This window comes from Homo sapiens, chromosome 3, assembly GCF_000001405.40.
Source record: "Homo sapiens chromosome 3, GRCh38.p14 Primary Assembly".
In the NCBI taxonomy this organism is placed as follows: domain Eukaryota; kingdom Metazoa; phylum Chordata; class Mammalia; order Primates; family Hominidae; genus Homo; species Homo sapiens.
The window spans coordinates 164729241-164747634 of record NC_000003.12 but is presented as its reverse complement, the minus strand read 5'-3'; the positions used below and the strand labels follow the sequence as shown (position 1 = coordinate 164747634).

The 18394-nt window shown below is 35.0% G+C and overlaps 1 long non-coding RNA gene across 1 annotated transcript in view, besides 1 other annotated feature; it reads left to right on the top strand.

The window, feature by feature from the left end:
* Positions 1–18394, top strand: part of LINC01324 (long intergenic non-protein coding RNA 1324) — a 117386-nt gene that overhangs the window by 83846 nt on the left and 15146 nt on the right. The window contains exon 2 of the long non-coding RNA NR_126405.1: positions 16595–16763. This is a non-coding gene — a long non-coding RNA (long intergenic non-protein coding RNA 1324). The remainder of the gene's footprint in view (positions 1–16594; positions 16764–18394) is intronic.
* Positions 16441–16942: an enhancer, noted in NCBI's record as "NANOG hESC enhancer chr3:164448481-164448982 (GRCh37/hg19 assembly coordinates)". NCBI's record gives its function as "activates a minimal SCP1, AML or CMV promoter by ChIP-STARR-seq in primed H9 embryonic stem cells {active_cell/tissue: H9 hESC(primed)}" and the evidence as "EXISTENCE:reporter gene assay evidence [ECO:0000049][PMID:30033119]".

The window sequence follows — 18394 nt, the reverse complement described above, 5'->3', positions numbered from 1 at the left end:
TGGAATCTAGAAGTTCTGTGTATTCCAATGTGTGGGGAGCATCCCAATTAAATGTCTTCAGAGATTAAATATTCATAACATAGTTAGGACTTAATTCTCTTTGGTAGAATCTGTGGGTTTGAGTGGAGAAGAAGGACAAGGCAAAAGTAATCTGGGACGAGATCACGGAAAATTTTGCATAGTGATGTCTATTTACAGTTTCTGATTTTGCCTATGGCCCATTCTCTCATTTACTTTGCTCTTAGAATTCCCTGCCTCATTTTTCATATTCAATCAAGCATTTATTCATTGAAATTTAATGTGCCTTTCCATATCAGGTCATTCTGCTATTGCTGCAAAATTGCTTCTTAGCTGACATCTATTAACTGATTCTTATTCCCACAAATATTGACTTATCTAATACACACAAACTATTAGATTAATATTCACGTACATCTCTTATCTATTATTCTCTGCTCTAAAAAATATTTAATGATTCTTCATTATCTTCATGATACATGCCGGGTTAATTGGTGTCTGGTTTTCTTTAGCTACATTTGTCAAAAATTGTTAAAAACCTACAAAATTTCATTGAACTATGAGAAATACAGAGTAGTAATATTTTGAAAGAATTATTACTTGTCCTAAAGTACATATATTCACCACCTCAACCTAGATAAAAGCATAAGGTAAAGATGGCAGAATCTATGAAGAAAAAATAGTAGTGTATACCCATAGTTTGGAAGGATTGCTAAAAGAATATTTAACTTCCTGATGTTCTTTCTTTGAAGCTAAGTCTCATGATTTGAAACATATGGTCCTTTTCTTCTTGGCACAAATAATATGAGTATTTTTAGTTATCCCATCTTTCTATAATAAATTAAATTTAAAAAGAGTACTTACAAAATATGCAGTTTGGGGGTGGCTAAGGTATAAGGGTTGGATATCTAAAGTGCATGCCTGAGACAAACATAATACACTGGCAGAGTTGAAGCCATTATTAGATTATTCCTTCAACTATGCATTCATTCATTTTGTTTAGCTAAATTATTTAGCTATGACAGCAAAAGAATGGTCCACGAAAGAACAAATTGATAAATTGGACTTCATCAAATTGTTTTTAAATCTCTCAAAGGCATCATTAAAAAATAAAAAGACAAGTCACAGAATAGATGAAAATATTTATATATCTCTGATAAAGGACATGTATCCAGTATATATATATATATATATATATATATATATATATATATATATATATATATATATATATATATAAAACTTCCCAAACTGTAAAAGAAAATTAAGCCTAATCAAAATGGGGACAATATTTGAACAAATATTAAGCAAAGCAGATATACAAATGTCAGAGAGTACATGCAAAGACGTTTGACACCATTATTTTTTAAGAAATTGCAAATTAAAGCCACAATGAGATGACATTAGACAGCTGTTAGAATGGTAATATTGAAAAAACTGGTTATATCAAGTGTTGGTGAGGATGTGGAGGAACAAATTCTTACATAATGTTCATGGAAATGTGTATTAGTTTACTTTTAGTGATGTAACAAATTATAGCAAATTTAATGGCTTAACGTCTTTCATAAATGTGGTACATTTATCTGAAATGAATAAGCAAGAGTAATACATTATTATTAACTAAAGTCTATACTTTATTCAAATTTTCTCAGTTTTTCTCTAATGTCCTTTTGCTATCCCAAGAGCCCATCTAGGATAACATATGACATTTAGTACTCTCCTTTGATTTCTTTTGTCTTTGACAATTTCTTAGACTTGTACTGTTTTTGATGACTTTGATAGTTTTGATAATTAGTTTAGATATTTTGTAAAATGTCCCTCGATTGAGATTTGTTCGATGATTTTCTCATTATTAGGCTGGGGTAATTTGTCTTGGGGAGGAAAATCACGGTAGTAAAGTATCATTCTTATCATATTATGTTAGAGTGTATATTATCAATGTCTTATTACTGTTGAGGTTAAACTCGATCACCTGGCTTTAGGTAATAGTCACAAAGTCTCTCCATTGTTAAGTTCCTTTATTTTCCCATCCTCACCATACTGTACTCTTTGAAGGAAAGTCTCTAATATAGCATACACTTAAGGCATGCGGAATTATATTTCATCTCCTTACAAGATGGAGAATCTACATAAATTATTTGGAATAATATGCTTTAAAATCAAATTTGGAAGTTTTTAACCATTATTCATTTAATTTTTTTATACCCTTTCTCTCTCCCATTCTCCTAGGAATCCCATTACATACATGTTTTAATGCTTAAGATTTTTATTGCATTCACTGAAGTTCTTGCATCAGTTTTTTTTATTTGTTTCATGCACTCAGTAATTTCTATTGATTCCTCTGAGAGCACACTGATTTTTCTTCTGCCATCTTATACCTCTTGTTGAGCTAATCTAGCAAATTTTTCATTTTTGTTTTCACTCCTTTAAGCTCTAGAATTTCCACTTGATTTTCTTTTATAGTTTACCTTTCTCTGTTGAAATTGACTATGTGTTATTTTCATACTTTGCTTTAGTTCTTTAAACTTACTTATAATATTCTTTTTGAATCCTTTGTCTAGCAAATCCAATATCTATGCCTACTCAGAATTAGTTTCTATTGACAGCATTTATTCTTGAGTGTGGGTGATACTTTCCCATTTCTTGTGTATCTTGTAATATTTTATTGAAAACTACAAATTTTTGATCATATAATGTATTGATCCATTTGGATTCTGTCTTACTTTTACTTTTTAATTACCTTACCTGGACTCAAACTGCAGAAACTTTTCCTCCATGTTGTATAGTTGCTGATATCTCCGCTCAGTTTTTTTTTCTTTTTAGTTTTTTCTTTTTAGTATTTTCTTTTAGCCTAGCTTACTAGCGATTGTCTAGCCTAGTAGCCAACCAATGATTTAGCCAGAGTTTGTGCTCAAATATATTAAGTTCTTCTGTGGCTCTTATTTCCAGGATCCTTTTGCTAATTTTCTGAAGGGTCTGCTGCTTACCACAACTGGGACTTAAGTTAGCAAAATTGTGTTTCTCCCTCCCCCATTATTTTCTATCAAGTTTGTCGCTTTTAAATTACAAAACTGCAAAGTTTTTTGGCCCACTTCAAATCAATTCCACTCCTCTGGAAGCAATGATTCTGATCTCCTTCCCCCTTCATTCTCCTCCCTTGCCATCTTCACCTTTGTAAAGCTACTTTTCTTGGCAACCGAACTGGGGTTGTTGATGGGAACTGCCCAAGGCAAGTTGGCAGCAGAGCTTTCCCAAAGCTCCCCTAGTTTCTCAAGAATATATGTTCTTCAATTTGTTCTCTGCCTTTGGCAACTTGCAAACCTGAAAGGATGTTTTTTTGACAATTTTGCCCAGTTTCATACTTTGCGTGTGGGAAGGATTTACCAGCATCTTCACGCTGTCTTAATGGAAATCCTTCTCCAACACTCAAAACAGAGGCCAGTGCTAACAGGGCCATTGCCTCTCCAGGTGACTCTTCTTAAGGATTAAAAAGATGTTTTAGGACAGGCATGCCTGTAATCCTAGCATGTGGGGAGTCTGAAGTGAGTGGATCACTTAAGCCTGAAGTTCCAGACCAGCCAGGGCAACCTAGTGAGACCTGTAGTTTTTTATCTTACAAAAAAAATAAATAAATAAAATTATCCCTGGTGCAGTGGCACACACATGTAATTCCAGCTACTGAGGATGGGGAGGAGCTGAGGTGGGAGAATAGCTTGAGCCTGGGAGATGGAGGCTGTAGTGAGCTGTGATCATGATACTGCACTTCAGCCTAGGTGACAGAGTAAGAGTTTGTCTTAGAAAAAAAAAAGATATTCTATTAGTATTTAATCTTCAGAGTCTGTTGTGCTGGACACTGAAAGTTATTTTCTTAGAACTAATAAAACTTTTCTAAATGATATAAAAGACATCCAACATGAGTGACCTAACTGCAACTTCGGTCAATGCAAAGTATATAATTGATAAGTAATAGCTCATTACAGAATGTATTTCCATACCACAAGCCATTGGAACTGATCTAGTAGAAATAAACTCCTGATTCTCCATTTGTTATATGTGTTGTATATTTACAATGGTTATGAAAAGTCAGTCAGTAAGGATCTTATGTTAATTTTATATTAAATGTAATTGTTAAATAAATACCTACTCTTGGTTAGTGCATCATATGAATATACATTCACCACAGAAATGTCTATGAGTAGGTGAGAACATAACAACAGCAAAAAATTCAAATTACGTAATTCTAAATGAAAAGACAAGATGATTTTATTATTGTATTTCATTCTTATTTATGAGTTTTGCCTACAGCAGTGGCATTTAAGCAGGGCAGGAAACCCCAAATTTTACCTTTTTATATATTTCCATTTTCTATGTGGAAAATATGACAAAAAATAATTCTACAGAAAAATAATAAAAAGTTTTAGCAAAAAGTTTGGTAACCACATATATAGTCCTTTAGTATTTTATATAAGATGCATATTAGATTATATACTTAATATTATGTTACATGTTCCATTTTCTTCAAATAACTCATTATTTATAAATGTACTTATTTTAGTAGACTATCTCATATTATTCAAATACTATCATGTCAAAAATGAAATCTCACTCTGCAAGTAAATTTGGGAATATATATGAATACATCTAATTTGAATGGATACTTGGAAGAAAAATATTTGCTTCTTCACACATTTTAGAGTTTAATTAATAACCCACATCAAATTCAATAGCTAATATTAAAGCTAAATTAATGTTTATTTTTAATATAAAAATTTTAAAATAGAACTAATTAAATACCACACTGTTATTACTGTGGAAGCAAAGCAAAATTTCCTTCATGAAAAACATATCTTCAAGTTATCTGAATCTGTGTAGTAGAAGCTTTAATGATTAGAGATCTCAGTAAAGTCTAGCTATAAAAAAATTCGATTTACAGCCACTTAAGTCGCTAGTCCTCATTCAGACTATTGCGATCAACTTTCTTGTTTTAATACCAGAATTCTCTGAGATGTTTCATTTGGGAAGATTATGGGATAAACCATGTACGATATTTAATTGATGCCAAAATTAATATTTTTCTATTTTAAAATCAAGACCTGTCTTACAATTTAAGATGTCTTAAAGTCATAATTAGCGGCCTTTCTCTTTAGTGGCAAATTATATAATGATGCATCATACAATCAATGAAAATTTAGATTAAACATAGATTATGTAAAGCATGTCTATGAGTATGAGTCAATGAGAAATAAAAAAAAATACATAATGTAGCTAAACTCCTCTGCATGAAATGAAACAGCAGTTTGGGGGATAAGTTCATCAGACAGTAGAAGACAGAAGAGACTATTCCAGCAACATGGCAGCATGGCCAAAAAACATTTAAGATCAAGATTAAGAGCGTGAGCAGCGTCTCTAGTGCAGGAGGCTCCCCTAGGTGAGCAGGACCTTGTCCAGGTAGAAGCAGGCTGGGCAAATGAGGCTTGTGTGACCCAGGTGGCAGGATTGCCCCGGGTCTGATGGTGATCCTTGCTTGTGGTGCACAGCCACACGTGAGTACTCATCCTTGAAGTCACCAGTGCACCCCTGTGCCTCTCTTCATCCCAGCCATTCCCAGGAGGTGGTGCTCAGGGATGCAACAGTTGCTACCGCCAACAGCTGCCCACCAGGCTTCTGCTTTCTGAGTGTAATGATAGAGTGTTACCAAGCAAAGGCGTACTGCTCAGTGTACATAGAAACCAATACCACAACACCAGTTTTTGAGAAAAGAAAAAGCTTCATGGCAAAGTCACTGGAGAGGAGACAGGAGGAAATGCTCAAATCTGTCTTTCCGAGGCTGGGATATGGGGATAGGTTTTGTTGGTAGAGGGTTACAATGAAACAGATAAGAAAATGCAATGAGGCGTGACTTTGCTAGGTCATGCTGACGTCCTTGGCTCTTAAGTCCATACTACAACAAAAGCAGGCATCCCTTGTTTCTGCATTTGGTCCCCATTCCTTGATCCAAGTAGATTGGTTCTGCTTCTGGGTGACTCTTCCGCTCTTGCTGGCTCCTAGACCACGCACCTGGCATACTTACCTGGGCATGCTCCAATTATGTAACCAGCAATGTAGGGGTCTGCTGCACTGAAATGCAACTCACAAATTTGTTATATAAAATTTGAACCAGAGTAAGCAAGTTCTAGGGTTACAAGAGAGGTGAGGGAAGCCATGTTACTCCGATGGAAGATTCTGTGCCTGCTTATGCTTATCTTTGTGAGTAGTTCATGGAGAAAAACAGAAATGGAAGTAAAAATGAAGAAACCTTGTGAAATGTAGGCCAGGATGATGAAGTCTCAGATGGAAATGAGAAAGTTATTGTGAACTGGAGTGAAGGTCACCTTTCTTCTTAGCAAATAACTTGGCTGCATTTTAACAAATGATATTTTCAAGAATCCATATATATATAGTGGTGACTTCAGGGATGACTACTAATGTGTGGCTGTGCACCACAGGCAATAATAGCATGGTAGACAGTTGCTTATCTTTGTTATTTTCTGACAATTTCATTGAAATGATAGTCAAGGAATTAAATATGTGTGTGTGTGTGTGTGTGTGTCTGTGTGTGTGTTTGTGTGTGTGTGTGTTGTAGTTTGGATGTGTGTCCCCTTCAGATCTCATGTTGAAATGTGATTCTCATGTTGAAATATGTTGGAGGTGGGGCCTGGTGAGAGGTGTTTGGATCATGGAGGTCAGAGGGGTGTATTCTTCATGAATGGCTTAGTATCATCTCTTTTGTTATACATACGTTTTCACTCAGTTAGTTTACATAAGATCCAATTGTTTAAATGAGTCTTGAACTTCTCCCTTTTGTCTTGCTCCTTCTCTCACCATGTGATGCACTGGCTCCCTCTTTACCTTTTACCACTATTGTAAGCTTCCTGGAGCCCTCACCAGAAGCATTTGCCAGCACCATACTTTCTGTACAGCCTACAGAACCATAAGCCAAAATAAAATCCTTCTCTTTGTAAGTTACCCAGTCCAGTCTGAGGTATTTCTTTATAGCAATGCAAAAAAGCATTAACACAGAAAATTGGTACTAAAGAATGGGGCATTGCTATAAAGTTACCTGAAAATGTGGAATTGACTTTGGAGCTGGGTAATGAGCAGAAGTTGGAAGAGTTTTGGGGGCTCAGAAGAGGACAGGAAGATGAGGAAACTTTTGTAGCTTCTTAGAGACTGATTAAATTGTTGCAACCAAAATGCTAATAGAAATATGAATAATAAAAGCCAGGCTGATGAGGTCTCAGGACAAGAGGCCAAGGAGGAAAGAATGGTTTTGAGAGTCAAGTCCAGGGTGTCACTGCCCTGTTCAGCCTCGGTACACTGCCTCCCACATCCCAGCTACTCCAGCTATGGCTCCACTTGTGGCTCAAAGTGTCCCAGGTATAGCTCAGGCTGCTGCTCTGGAGAGTGCATGCTACCATAAGCCTTGGTGGCTTCCGTTGGATGTTAAGTCTGGAAGCTCACAGAATGCAACTGCAAAGGAGGCTTGGCAGCTTCCCCCTAGATGTCAGAGGAGGCATTGGAAAGCCTGGGTGCCTAGACAGAAGCCTTCCCTCACACAGAAACCCTTCTAGAACAATGTTAAAGGGAAATGTGGGATTGGAGCCTTCACATAGTGTCCCTAAGGGGGTCACTGTCTAGTGGAGCTGTGGTAAGGGGCCTCTAAACTTCAGACCCAAGAATGATAGAGCCACTGGTAGCTTGCATCCTGGGCCTGGAAAAGCTGCAGGCATTCAGCTACACCCGGTGACCACAGCCAGTTCTGCCTGCTGCAGAACCACAGCAGTGGAGCTGCCCAAGCCCTTGGGAAGCCACTCCTTGCACCAGTCTGCCCTAGATGCAGGACATAAAGTTAAGGGAGATTATTTTGTAGCTTTAAGGTTTAATGTCTACCCTGCTGGGTTTTACACTTGCATGGGGCCTACTGCCCCGTTATTTTGGCCATTTTTTCCTTTTTCAAATGAGAATATTTACCCAATGCTTGTACTACCATTGAACCTTGGGAGCAAATAACTGTTTTTGCTTTCACAGGATCATAGGTGGGAGGTGATGAGTCTCAGATGAGACTTAATACTTTTGTCTTCATGCTGAAAACATTTAAGACTTTGTGTGGAACTATTGGGAGAGATAATTGTGTTTTGCAATGTGAGAAAAGCATCTGGAGAACTAAGGGTGCAATAATATGGTTTGGATGCATGTCCAGTCCAAATCTCATGTTGAAACATGATCCCTAGTGTTGGAGGTGGGGCCTAGTGGGAGGTATTGGATCATTGGGTCAGATCCCTCATGAATGGCTTAGCACCATCCCCTTAGTGATGAGTGAGTTTTTGCTCGATTAATTTATGGGAGATTTGATTGTTTAAAGGAGTCTGAAACCTCCCCCTTCTCTTTCTTGTTCCCTCACTTGTCATGTGATGTGCTGGTCCCCACTTCAACTTCCACCATGATAGTAAGCTTCCTGAGACCCTCACTACAAGCTGATTTCAACACTATGCTTCATGTATAGCCTGCAGAAATGTGAGCCAAAATAAAACCTCTTTTCTTTACAGATTACCCAGTCTCAGGTATTTATTTATAGCAATGGAAGAACAAACTAACACAATATGTATGTGTGTGTATTATATATATATGTGTGTGTGTGTATATGTGTGTGTGTATACATATGTATGTGTGTGGGTGTACACTGCGCAACAAAGAGAATGAGAGTGAAGATAAAGCTGAGATGACAATTTTTGGAGTCTATAGAATGGGATGGACAAATGGTAACTGACAAATTGGAGAAAGACAAGGGCTAGTCTGTACGGTAAAACAAACAAGAAACAATCCTGATTTGAACCACAAATCACCCTATCTTTTGCAGGGCAGTTTGGTCCTTCCTCAGTGTAAAACTGGAGCTTTGCTTCTGTGCTTGACATATCAGGCAAGCTGAGACCAAGGAGTGAGATGCTATACTGGAAAGAGGAAGGTTAAGTGAAAATCTGAATAGTTAATGGTGAGACTTCCTTCACCCTTCACCTTCTTGTCTCCCACAATGCTGGCATTCAGGATTATACAACCAGGGAAAACAAAGAGTGGCAGAAAATTAATTGGTTTGCATCAAAATCACATTAAGATGAAATCTACTCACATATGAAGAGGTCTGATAATGAGCATTTTAGTGTGTTGTTCTTTAGTGGGCATCACAGGATAAACTTGCAAGCAAGAAAGAGGATCTAGGAAGAAATGAAGTCAATGCAAAGGGCAGAAGAAAAATTACCAAAAACAAAATAAAGCAAAAAACTTCAAGACAATAAAGCAAAAAATAACCAACAAAAAAACTTCTAATCTATGAGACAGAAGAGAAAAAACACAGTGAAAAAATATTTTAATAGGGTTAATCTAAGAAAGCAAACATTCATATAATGAAATGTCCGGTAAAAAAAGAAAACAAGGAAAATGGAGGAGAGAAAATTATCAAAGAAATAATAAAACTGTCCCGAAACTGAAGGATATAGTGTCTAAATTATGACATTTAACTGAGAGCCCAATGCAATGAATTCAAAGAAACCCACAACAAAATGTATAATTCTGAAATTTCAGAACATTGGTGAGAAAAAGGAAACAAAATACTCCAGAAAGAAACAATTGAGTCTCATACAGAATATTGAGGATCAAGATGGCACTAGGCGGTTACGTAGCAAAACTGGAAGGTAGAAGATGTCATGGAAATATATTTAAATTCTGAGACAAATGTTCTTTGATCAGGATCTACATGAAGAAAAATTATTATCAAAATGTGAAAGTAAAGACATTTTCAGACATGCAAAATGTTTTCTCAGTGTATTTCCCATTCATTCTTTCTTGGAAAAACATTGAAATTTATGCTTCATCAAAATCAGGGAATACACCAAAAGAGAAAGAAAATGGAATGCAGGGAATGAATAATTCAACCCAGGAAGAACACATAAATAATTCCCAGGAAGAAGAGAAGGATTCTGTGTTAGTCTGTTTTTGTTGCTATAAAGGAATATCTGAGGTTTGGTAATTTAGAAAGAAAAGTGGAACATTTTGCTCACAGTTCTGCAGGCTGTACAAGCAGCATGGTGCCAGCTTCTGCTTCTGGTGAGAGCTTCAGGGGGTTTCCACTCATGGCAGAAAGTGAATGGGAGTAGGCATTATATAGTGAGAGGGAGGAAGGAAAGAAGGAAGAGTGAGTTGGGGGAGGGGTGCCACAGGCTTTTAAACAACCAGCTCTACTGTGGCTTGAGAGAGCCAGAACTCACTCATTACCTTGGTGAGAACAGCAAGTCATTCATGAGGGATATACCCCTATGACCTAAACACCTCCCACTAGGTTCTAGCTCCAACATTGGGAATCACATTTAAACACGAGATTTGGAGGGGACAAATATCCAAAATAGAACAGGTTTCATAATAACAGTTGTGGAGTTGTCCTGTAAGGCAACTGGTGCATACAGAATCAAGTAATAATATATATTTTCAGTTTTGTTAGAAAAATTGGGAATGAGTTAGCAATAGGAACAAAGAAGTGGTTCCTAAGAACCACTTTTCTAACAAAAGTGAAAAGTGATGTCATTATTAATTTTTTATGTAAATCTAAAAGTTTTACAGTAACATAATCTTAGTAAACTAGGTAGCTCAAGTGTGAATAATAAAAAGTAAATAAACATATTTATATTACATATTATAGAAGTATTACTATATATAGTAATATGTATAGTGAACAATTTGGTCATAATATAAACGTATATTGAACTATATGTTCATAAATTAATAAACACTAGATATCAATTTAAGAAAAACAACATATGAATAGACTAGGAGGATGGGAGGAGGCCTGTGCATTTTCTGTTCATATGAAAACAGGAATGAGTGGAGTAGGTTTAAAGACATTAAATCCTTATCTTCTATAGTAACTTCCATATACAAAGGTTAGCTTTAAAACTGAAAAATTAACGGAGAGATGCAAATTACTTAAAAATGTGGACCTAAATACCAGAGAAAATGACTAGGAGGTGAAAATAGATTTGGAGAACAACAATCAGGAATAAGGAGAGTTTGTATAAGGGACTGCTGTTTCTCTTTATAAGCCAATGTCATTCATCTTACAAAACTAGAAACATGTATTATTTTAATAACAATGGCACACACACACACACACACACACACACACACACAGAACAAGATTGTTTGATAAGACGTTTACAAAGGTTAATGTTGAAATAACGATTCTCTCCACAATATATTTAATATAGTCACAAAAAGGTTGGCTTTTCTTCCTTTCTTTTTTCCTTTGTTTCTTCCTTCCATCCTTCCTTTTTTGTCTGACTTGATTTTGTTTATTTTTAGAAGACAATCAGATATGAGGTTGGGATCCATGTTCAGGATAATATTAGCGTTAGAGTTAAAATGACTGTTGAAAGATATTGAATAAAGAAGAAAAAATAAGTGGAATAAGTATGTATGAGCCTGAAGTTACCTCATTATTTTAACTCCTGGGAATTCACAGAGATCTTAGGGAGGGTTATTGACTTCTCAGAGGATTTAAGAAGTTTGAGTCTTTTTTGAAAGAACAAAGAGGCATAAGGAGACAACTGAGTTACTGTGTTAATCAACAGTTCTTAATTGTGTGTAAAAATAAAAATTGATAGAATTTCACCTTATCCAACCTTGAAAACAAAAGTAAAGATTAGTATCTCTGTATAATATTCTCATGGGTAATGAGGAGTGAGACTCTGGGCACTCTTAGTTAATAAATATTATCCTCATTGCATAACATTAAAATTAACACATGAATTAGAACAGAGAAAAGCAGTGTCTCCCAAGAAACAGACTGCTTCTCAGTACCAAAATAATTCAAAGTAAGTTCATCAATGGACTTATATAAAGATGAAAGGATGATTGTTCTGTCCTGGAATCATAGAAAAAGTGATTTGTAGAAGTCAGTGTTGATGGTAACTTTTAGCCCTGACCAGGATACAAGTCTTGACTGAATATATGATTTCCTTGGTTTTTAATGTGTTTTAAACCACCACAGCTGGGACACAAAGCTGAATGCCATCTTATGACATATTCTGATTCCCTTCTCACAAAAATTTTTTTTTGAGAGTTTAGCCTCTCACACAATTTGTCTTTAAGGAAAGAAAATGCTCTGAACAAGGGGATACATGTGCTTCTCTGCAAATAATTGCTTCGCTTTGCTATTATAAGTTATGAAACTGGTACTCTGGTTATAATTTGACTTTCTGCTGAAATAAAATTAAATTGACAAATTGTCATACTTGTTCTTAAGTGCTCATCCCTATGTGTGTAGTATTTGATGGTTAGGATAAGGATGATAGATAGGTACATTTTCTTTGTTCTGAAATATCAGATTTCTGGACTTGCAGGGCTGAGTGAGGACCAGACATTGGAATTTAGTGAGTCCAAAAAAATACACAAATAAGTTCCATTTCATAGCATTTCTTTTTCTGAGGGCAGTTGGCCCCCTAAGTCTCAGAGAAATGCAAATGGAAGTTTCCTCTGACCTGTGTCTACCCTTTGATGTTTTCAAAGCTTTGGGAAATTAAGAAGCACATTTGCTTTGGTGGTGACAATCATCTTATGTCCACTTGCATATTCTGTTTTTTGTTTGTTTGTTTGTTTTGTTTTGCTTTCTCTCCATGCTCTTTCATTGAGAAAAAAAATGCAATGCGTAAACATGGACTTTGAGTATTATATCAAAAGCTCATAAGGAGAAAGGGTGGGATTACCAACCCCCATTCTTCTTACCAATCCAGTGCCATCTTGCATGCTAATGGATATTAAACTCAGGAATTTTCAAAACAGCCTCAATACATTTCCTGATCTTCTAAGTTAACTTCCCCCAGGACCACCTCACTCCAGATGCCTGTAAGTTCACCTATCTGAAATTACAGATAGTTACTGAAAAGAGTGCATTTCAAAGAGAGCAGAGGAAGGCACAGGTGCTGCCTTTGGAATATGGGGCTCTCTGGTGGAGGGCATAATGTATCAAGGTTTTGAGAAACACAAAAGGTAGGCCACTTGGAGATGGACAGGAGAGAAAGGAAACTAAGGTAGAGGAAAATACAAATTTCACCTACTTGAACTTTTCTTAATTTTAGTGATGCTGTTTTAATCTTTTATCAAAGGTAAAACTGTTATCCAAATCAGAAGTCTCCTCACTCTTATCTTGAGCCATACCTAGACCAAAAGGGTGACATTAAGAAGAAGAGGTAAGCCAAGCCCTGAGAATTGTCTTCTGTGTGAGATATTTGTGTAGCCTATCTATGGAAATGTTGCTTGTGGGTTTCATATCTATTATAAAGCAAATGACATAAAACAGATAGTTGCATTTGCTTTTTATTAGATCAAGGATTCATAGGGTATCAGTTTTGTAAAGAAACTTAGAAATTATGTAATTCATACACATAAATTTATCTGGAAGGAACCTGAGTGATACCAAACATTATATCTAGTTATAGATCCAAAATATATTATCCATAATTCAAAAATCTGAAACAAAAAATAATCTGAAATGAGATTTTAAAATAACATATCAGGTGATAATTTCTACCATCAACTAACATGATGTAAATTACTGTCTTTATTTTAATTCCTCTTAGCATAACAATTCATAGCTTTTCCTGCTGAAATACTAATGTATCTGATTATGGGAGCTACTTCATTCCTGTTTGGGATATTAAGCAATATATAGTACATTGCTATCTAATATTTTAAAAGCACTCATGAATTAAAAATATATTTCTTTATAAAGGATTTAAATAAAAGCGTGAACATGATGAAGCAGAGGAGTGGTTAGAACTCAGTATTTCTGACTCTTCGTTCCCCATTCTTTCTGTTACACAAAGCTAGCTCCCATCTTAAAATGCATCAGATCATATAATTAAAATTGTATATGGGTAACTAGCAAAAAAATAGCTATTCTGTTATAATATTCATGGTGGTTGATTCTTCAAGACCTATTCCATCTCAAATGATTAATCTAAGTTATTAATGTAATATTTTTCTCTTTATCTTTGCTAATACCTAGTTTAAGAATAGCAATGCGGACCATTTATTGGCAATCAAAATTAAGGTGAAGTGCACCGATTATCCTCTGAAAAAGTATTTTTTGCCCCAAAAGAAGAGACACAAAAAAGACAGAACTCATGCTCCTTTTTCACGTGAAAATTATTTTGACATATGTGATGACTATACATCGTCCACAAGTTAAAAGAGGAGTAGGCACAAGGGCAAAGCCAAACAATACAAATGGCAAAGTAGTGATCACTTAAACTTACATAATTATTTTAATTATATATATATATTTACACTCTTTTTACAATGTGAGGTTACTCATGTTGACTATATGCCAAAAATTGAGTAAGTACATTCATATAAAAAATGCTTGCAAAATATACACATTGAAAAAATAAATTTTCAATTGAACTTTATATTTTGATTTAGTCCTATTGGAATATGTAGATGGACATGTTGAATTTAAGGAAATAAATCACAGGAAATTATGCATACCTAAATTACTACACTGTTTTTAGGACATGTACAAGTAATTCTCTAGCAAAGATTTAAATCAAGCGAACTCTTTTAAAGCTATAAGTACCTAATACTGTTAATACAAATGTTTTGATAAAGATAAGCATTAAGAGATTTTAAAGCATTTGAATACATTATATGTCAAATTTTTTTAAAAGTTATTTTCACAGCATACTTTTTAGACCTTATCAAAAGTCTTCTAATATAGTCCCAGAAACAAATAACAAGAGGCATAGCAATCATTTAATATAAGGACAGGCAACTTCAATGTATACAAGGCAATTAATTACAGTCCTCCCTTAGCACACATGGGGGATTGGTTCCAGGACGTCCATGTATACAAAAATAGTATGCTCAAGTCCTTCAGTTGGCCCTATTGAAAATGTATATGTGAAAGTTCGCCCTTCGTATATAGCATTTAGCATCCACAAATACTGTATTTTCTGTCTAATTTTGGTTGATTAGAATCCATGTATCAGTGAACCCATGCAGTTCAAACCTGTATACTTCAAGGGACAACTGTACTGGGCTGGGAGAAGACAATGGAATTGGGAAAATTCATGGCTCATAAGGAAATCAGCTGCTATGTGGTTTAAGCAGAGATTTCAGATTACCCAAAAATATTTACAGCAGACTGACTTTGGTGCCCTCTAATTAACCGCACTTTCTGTTATTCATGCCATTGTGAAATCTCTTTCCACAGAATTTCTGGAATTGACCATGTGACTAGCTTTGGCCAGTGGGATATCTTTAAGGGTGATGCAAGTGAAGCATCAGTAAATGATAAGTGCTGGCACTTAGGGTCTGTTCTCTTACAGGGTTTCCTTTTGGAACCCCTCCACAATTATTTGAAACAGCCAAAACAGCTAAGCGGAGATGCCTACACAGAAGAAAATCAAACACCCAGTCAATGGCACCAGCAGGGCTCCCAATCTTACATCTAGACTTTAGAAGCTACCCTGGCCTCATATCCTACACTATCAAAATGACTAAACTTTAGGGTTGTTTATTATGTAAAAAAAGATAATTGAGACATTCCTAAAATTCAGATTTTATGTGAACTCAATTTTTTTAAAGTACAATTATTATGAACTCATAGAGGCTAAGCAGTGTAGATATATATAATGTGTAACATTTAATCTAGCTCCAACTATTTTACTGAAGAAATTGATGTCTGGGAGGTTCAGTGGTAAGTTCTCAAAATTAGTGTAGCGTGGTGTAGTATAGTGTGGTATAGTGTAGTGTAGTGTAGAGCCAGACTACTGTATTAGTACCTATAAACTAATGAGTGCCTAGCAGATGCTAGATACTATATTTAGACTGGATAGATTCACAGGCCAGTCACAGATTCTCCTTCCAGGAAACTCTAGTGAAGTTGAAAAATACATAAACAAATAATTATTGTATTCTACATTTTATATCGTACTAAACCTATTTCAGTAACCTTCCCATAATCAAATTCAACCTACTTAAGAAGATCGTTTTCTCAGCTCACATTATAATAAATGAGAAGAGTAAGATGGCTAGTGAAATGCTGGAGTCAGGCCTAGAGTAGAAGGATGGTTTATTTAAATTATGTTATATAGATTTTCTTTAAAATATCCAGGATTAATTTCATTTAGAACCCATCTTTCCACTTTATGAAGTAAGCCATATTTGTGTTCTTTAAATACAGGGAAAACTTCTATATGTGTGCATTTTTTAAGGAAAAACATTCCATTCAGAATACCAATTCTAAAGCATAACCTACTGTCTTACCATATGTATGTTTCATTTCCAACATCCTTCTTGTCAACTAAATGTATATAATTCTAAATTCTTCTCCCCCTCACTGTATCATAAGCAGTGGCTTACAGTAGTCTGACAGTTAGCAAAAACTGTTATAAAAGCTTCTGTTATGAGACACAAGAGGAGATTAAAGCACAGCCCTGTCAGTCTGCAGAAAAAGAACGTGTTGCTCATAGCTGGTTATTCTTTTTTTCAGAGCACTGAACTTGGCAGGAAAATCAGTAGGAGTAAGTGGCGGAGGCATGGGACTGGCAGAGATACGGCAGCCCCTGTGGAGAGGCTGTCTACAGATAACATAACAATAACAACAGGATCTGCGGGGTTCCTGCATGCGTGTTGGCTTCACTGGAGAAACTAATCAAGTGGTAAGAATAAAGTTTAGGTTTACGAAATATAGGTGCTTGGCTGCTCAGAAATATAAAGGGGGTGGACTAGAGGCAGGACATTCAATATGTGTTTAGAGATATGTAACTGATGGCAGATAACAGAAGCAAAATAGAAAGAAAACACTTCTATAGACAAAAATCTCGCACCATTTTTATTAAGGAAATTGAGTCTGGAAATCAGTAATGTTTCTCGTAATCTCACTTTACATCATTTAATGCAAATGATGATCATTAGGTCTTTTAGTCTCCACTTTATTGCCTCAGACATTTTGAGTAAATTATATTTTATTTATTATTATTTCCTTATTTTCTTTTCACATTCTGTTATATTATTTTAATTAGGCTTTTTGACATGGGCTATATATAAATATTTGGGTCATAAATTAATGAATTATTTGAGCAGGGTTTCCAGCTACCAAATACCACTTTCCATCCAAATATAACTATAGGATGATGTGAAGTTTATTATACATGTCATAAGAATGAAGTGTGGATGCTGGGGAATGTGCATTTGTTTCCTACGGAACTGAGTACAGAATTGGCTTTTGCTCTGAGGTTCTATTTACTGTCATATATTTTATTTGCAGAAAACCAAGCAGGATTTATTTTCTTGGAAGTGACAAGAGAATTCTAAAATTTATATGGAAATTTAAAGACTGGGAATAACCAAAATGACTTTGTAAAAAATATACTGGGGAACTATACTACCTGATTTTAAGACTTATTGTAAATAATCAAGACACTGGAATATTGGTGCAAAGAAAGATAGAGCAATGAAAGATGAGCCCTGAAATTTAACCACATATATGTGGTCAATTAATTATTTACAAAGTTGCCAATGCAATTCAATCAAGAAGAAACAATCTTCTTAACAAGCAGTGGTGGAAAAATCATATAGTAATGCCATAAAACAAACCACTTTGTCTCTAACCTCATACAATGTACAAAAATCTACTGAAAATAAATCATAGATTCAAATGTAAGAACTACAACTAAAGCCATTTAAAATGAAGCATTGAAAAAAATCTGAGTACTTTGTATTTTACAAAGCTATATAAAATAGACAGTATGAATTATGTACTGAATCAGTAACTTTATCAAAGCTTAAAAAATTATACATACATTAACAAATAAAATTGCTATGACAATAAAAAAGGCAAGCTATAGATTGGAGTAAATACTTCAAAAAAAAAAAAACCTGGCAAAAGGATTTCATTTCGAATGTATAAAACTTTCACAACTCAGTAATAAGAAATCTAACTAACATTCTGATTAACAAGATGATTAAGGGTTTTGATGGATATTTCATCAAAGAATATATATAAATGGCCAATAAATACAAGAGAAAATGCTCAACTTCACTATTCATTAGGAAAATTCAAATGTAAATTACAGTGAGATGCTACAACTCACCCAGTGGACTGAGTAAAATTATAATGATCCTATAGAGTTTTAGCAAAAATGTGGAGCAACTGGATTTTTTTTTACCTTTCTACTTAAAATGTGAAATAAATAAGCAAAGTGAAAAATAGTTTTATAGTTTCTTAAAAATTTAAACTTATACATACCATGCAAACCAGCAGATATATGCATGCATAATTATGGAAGAT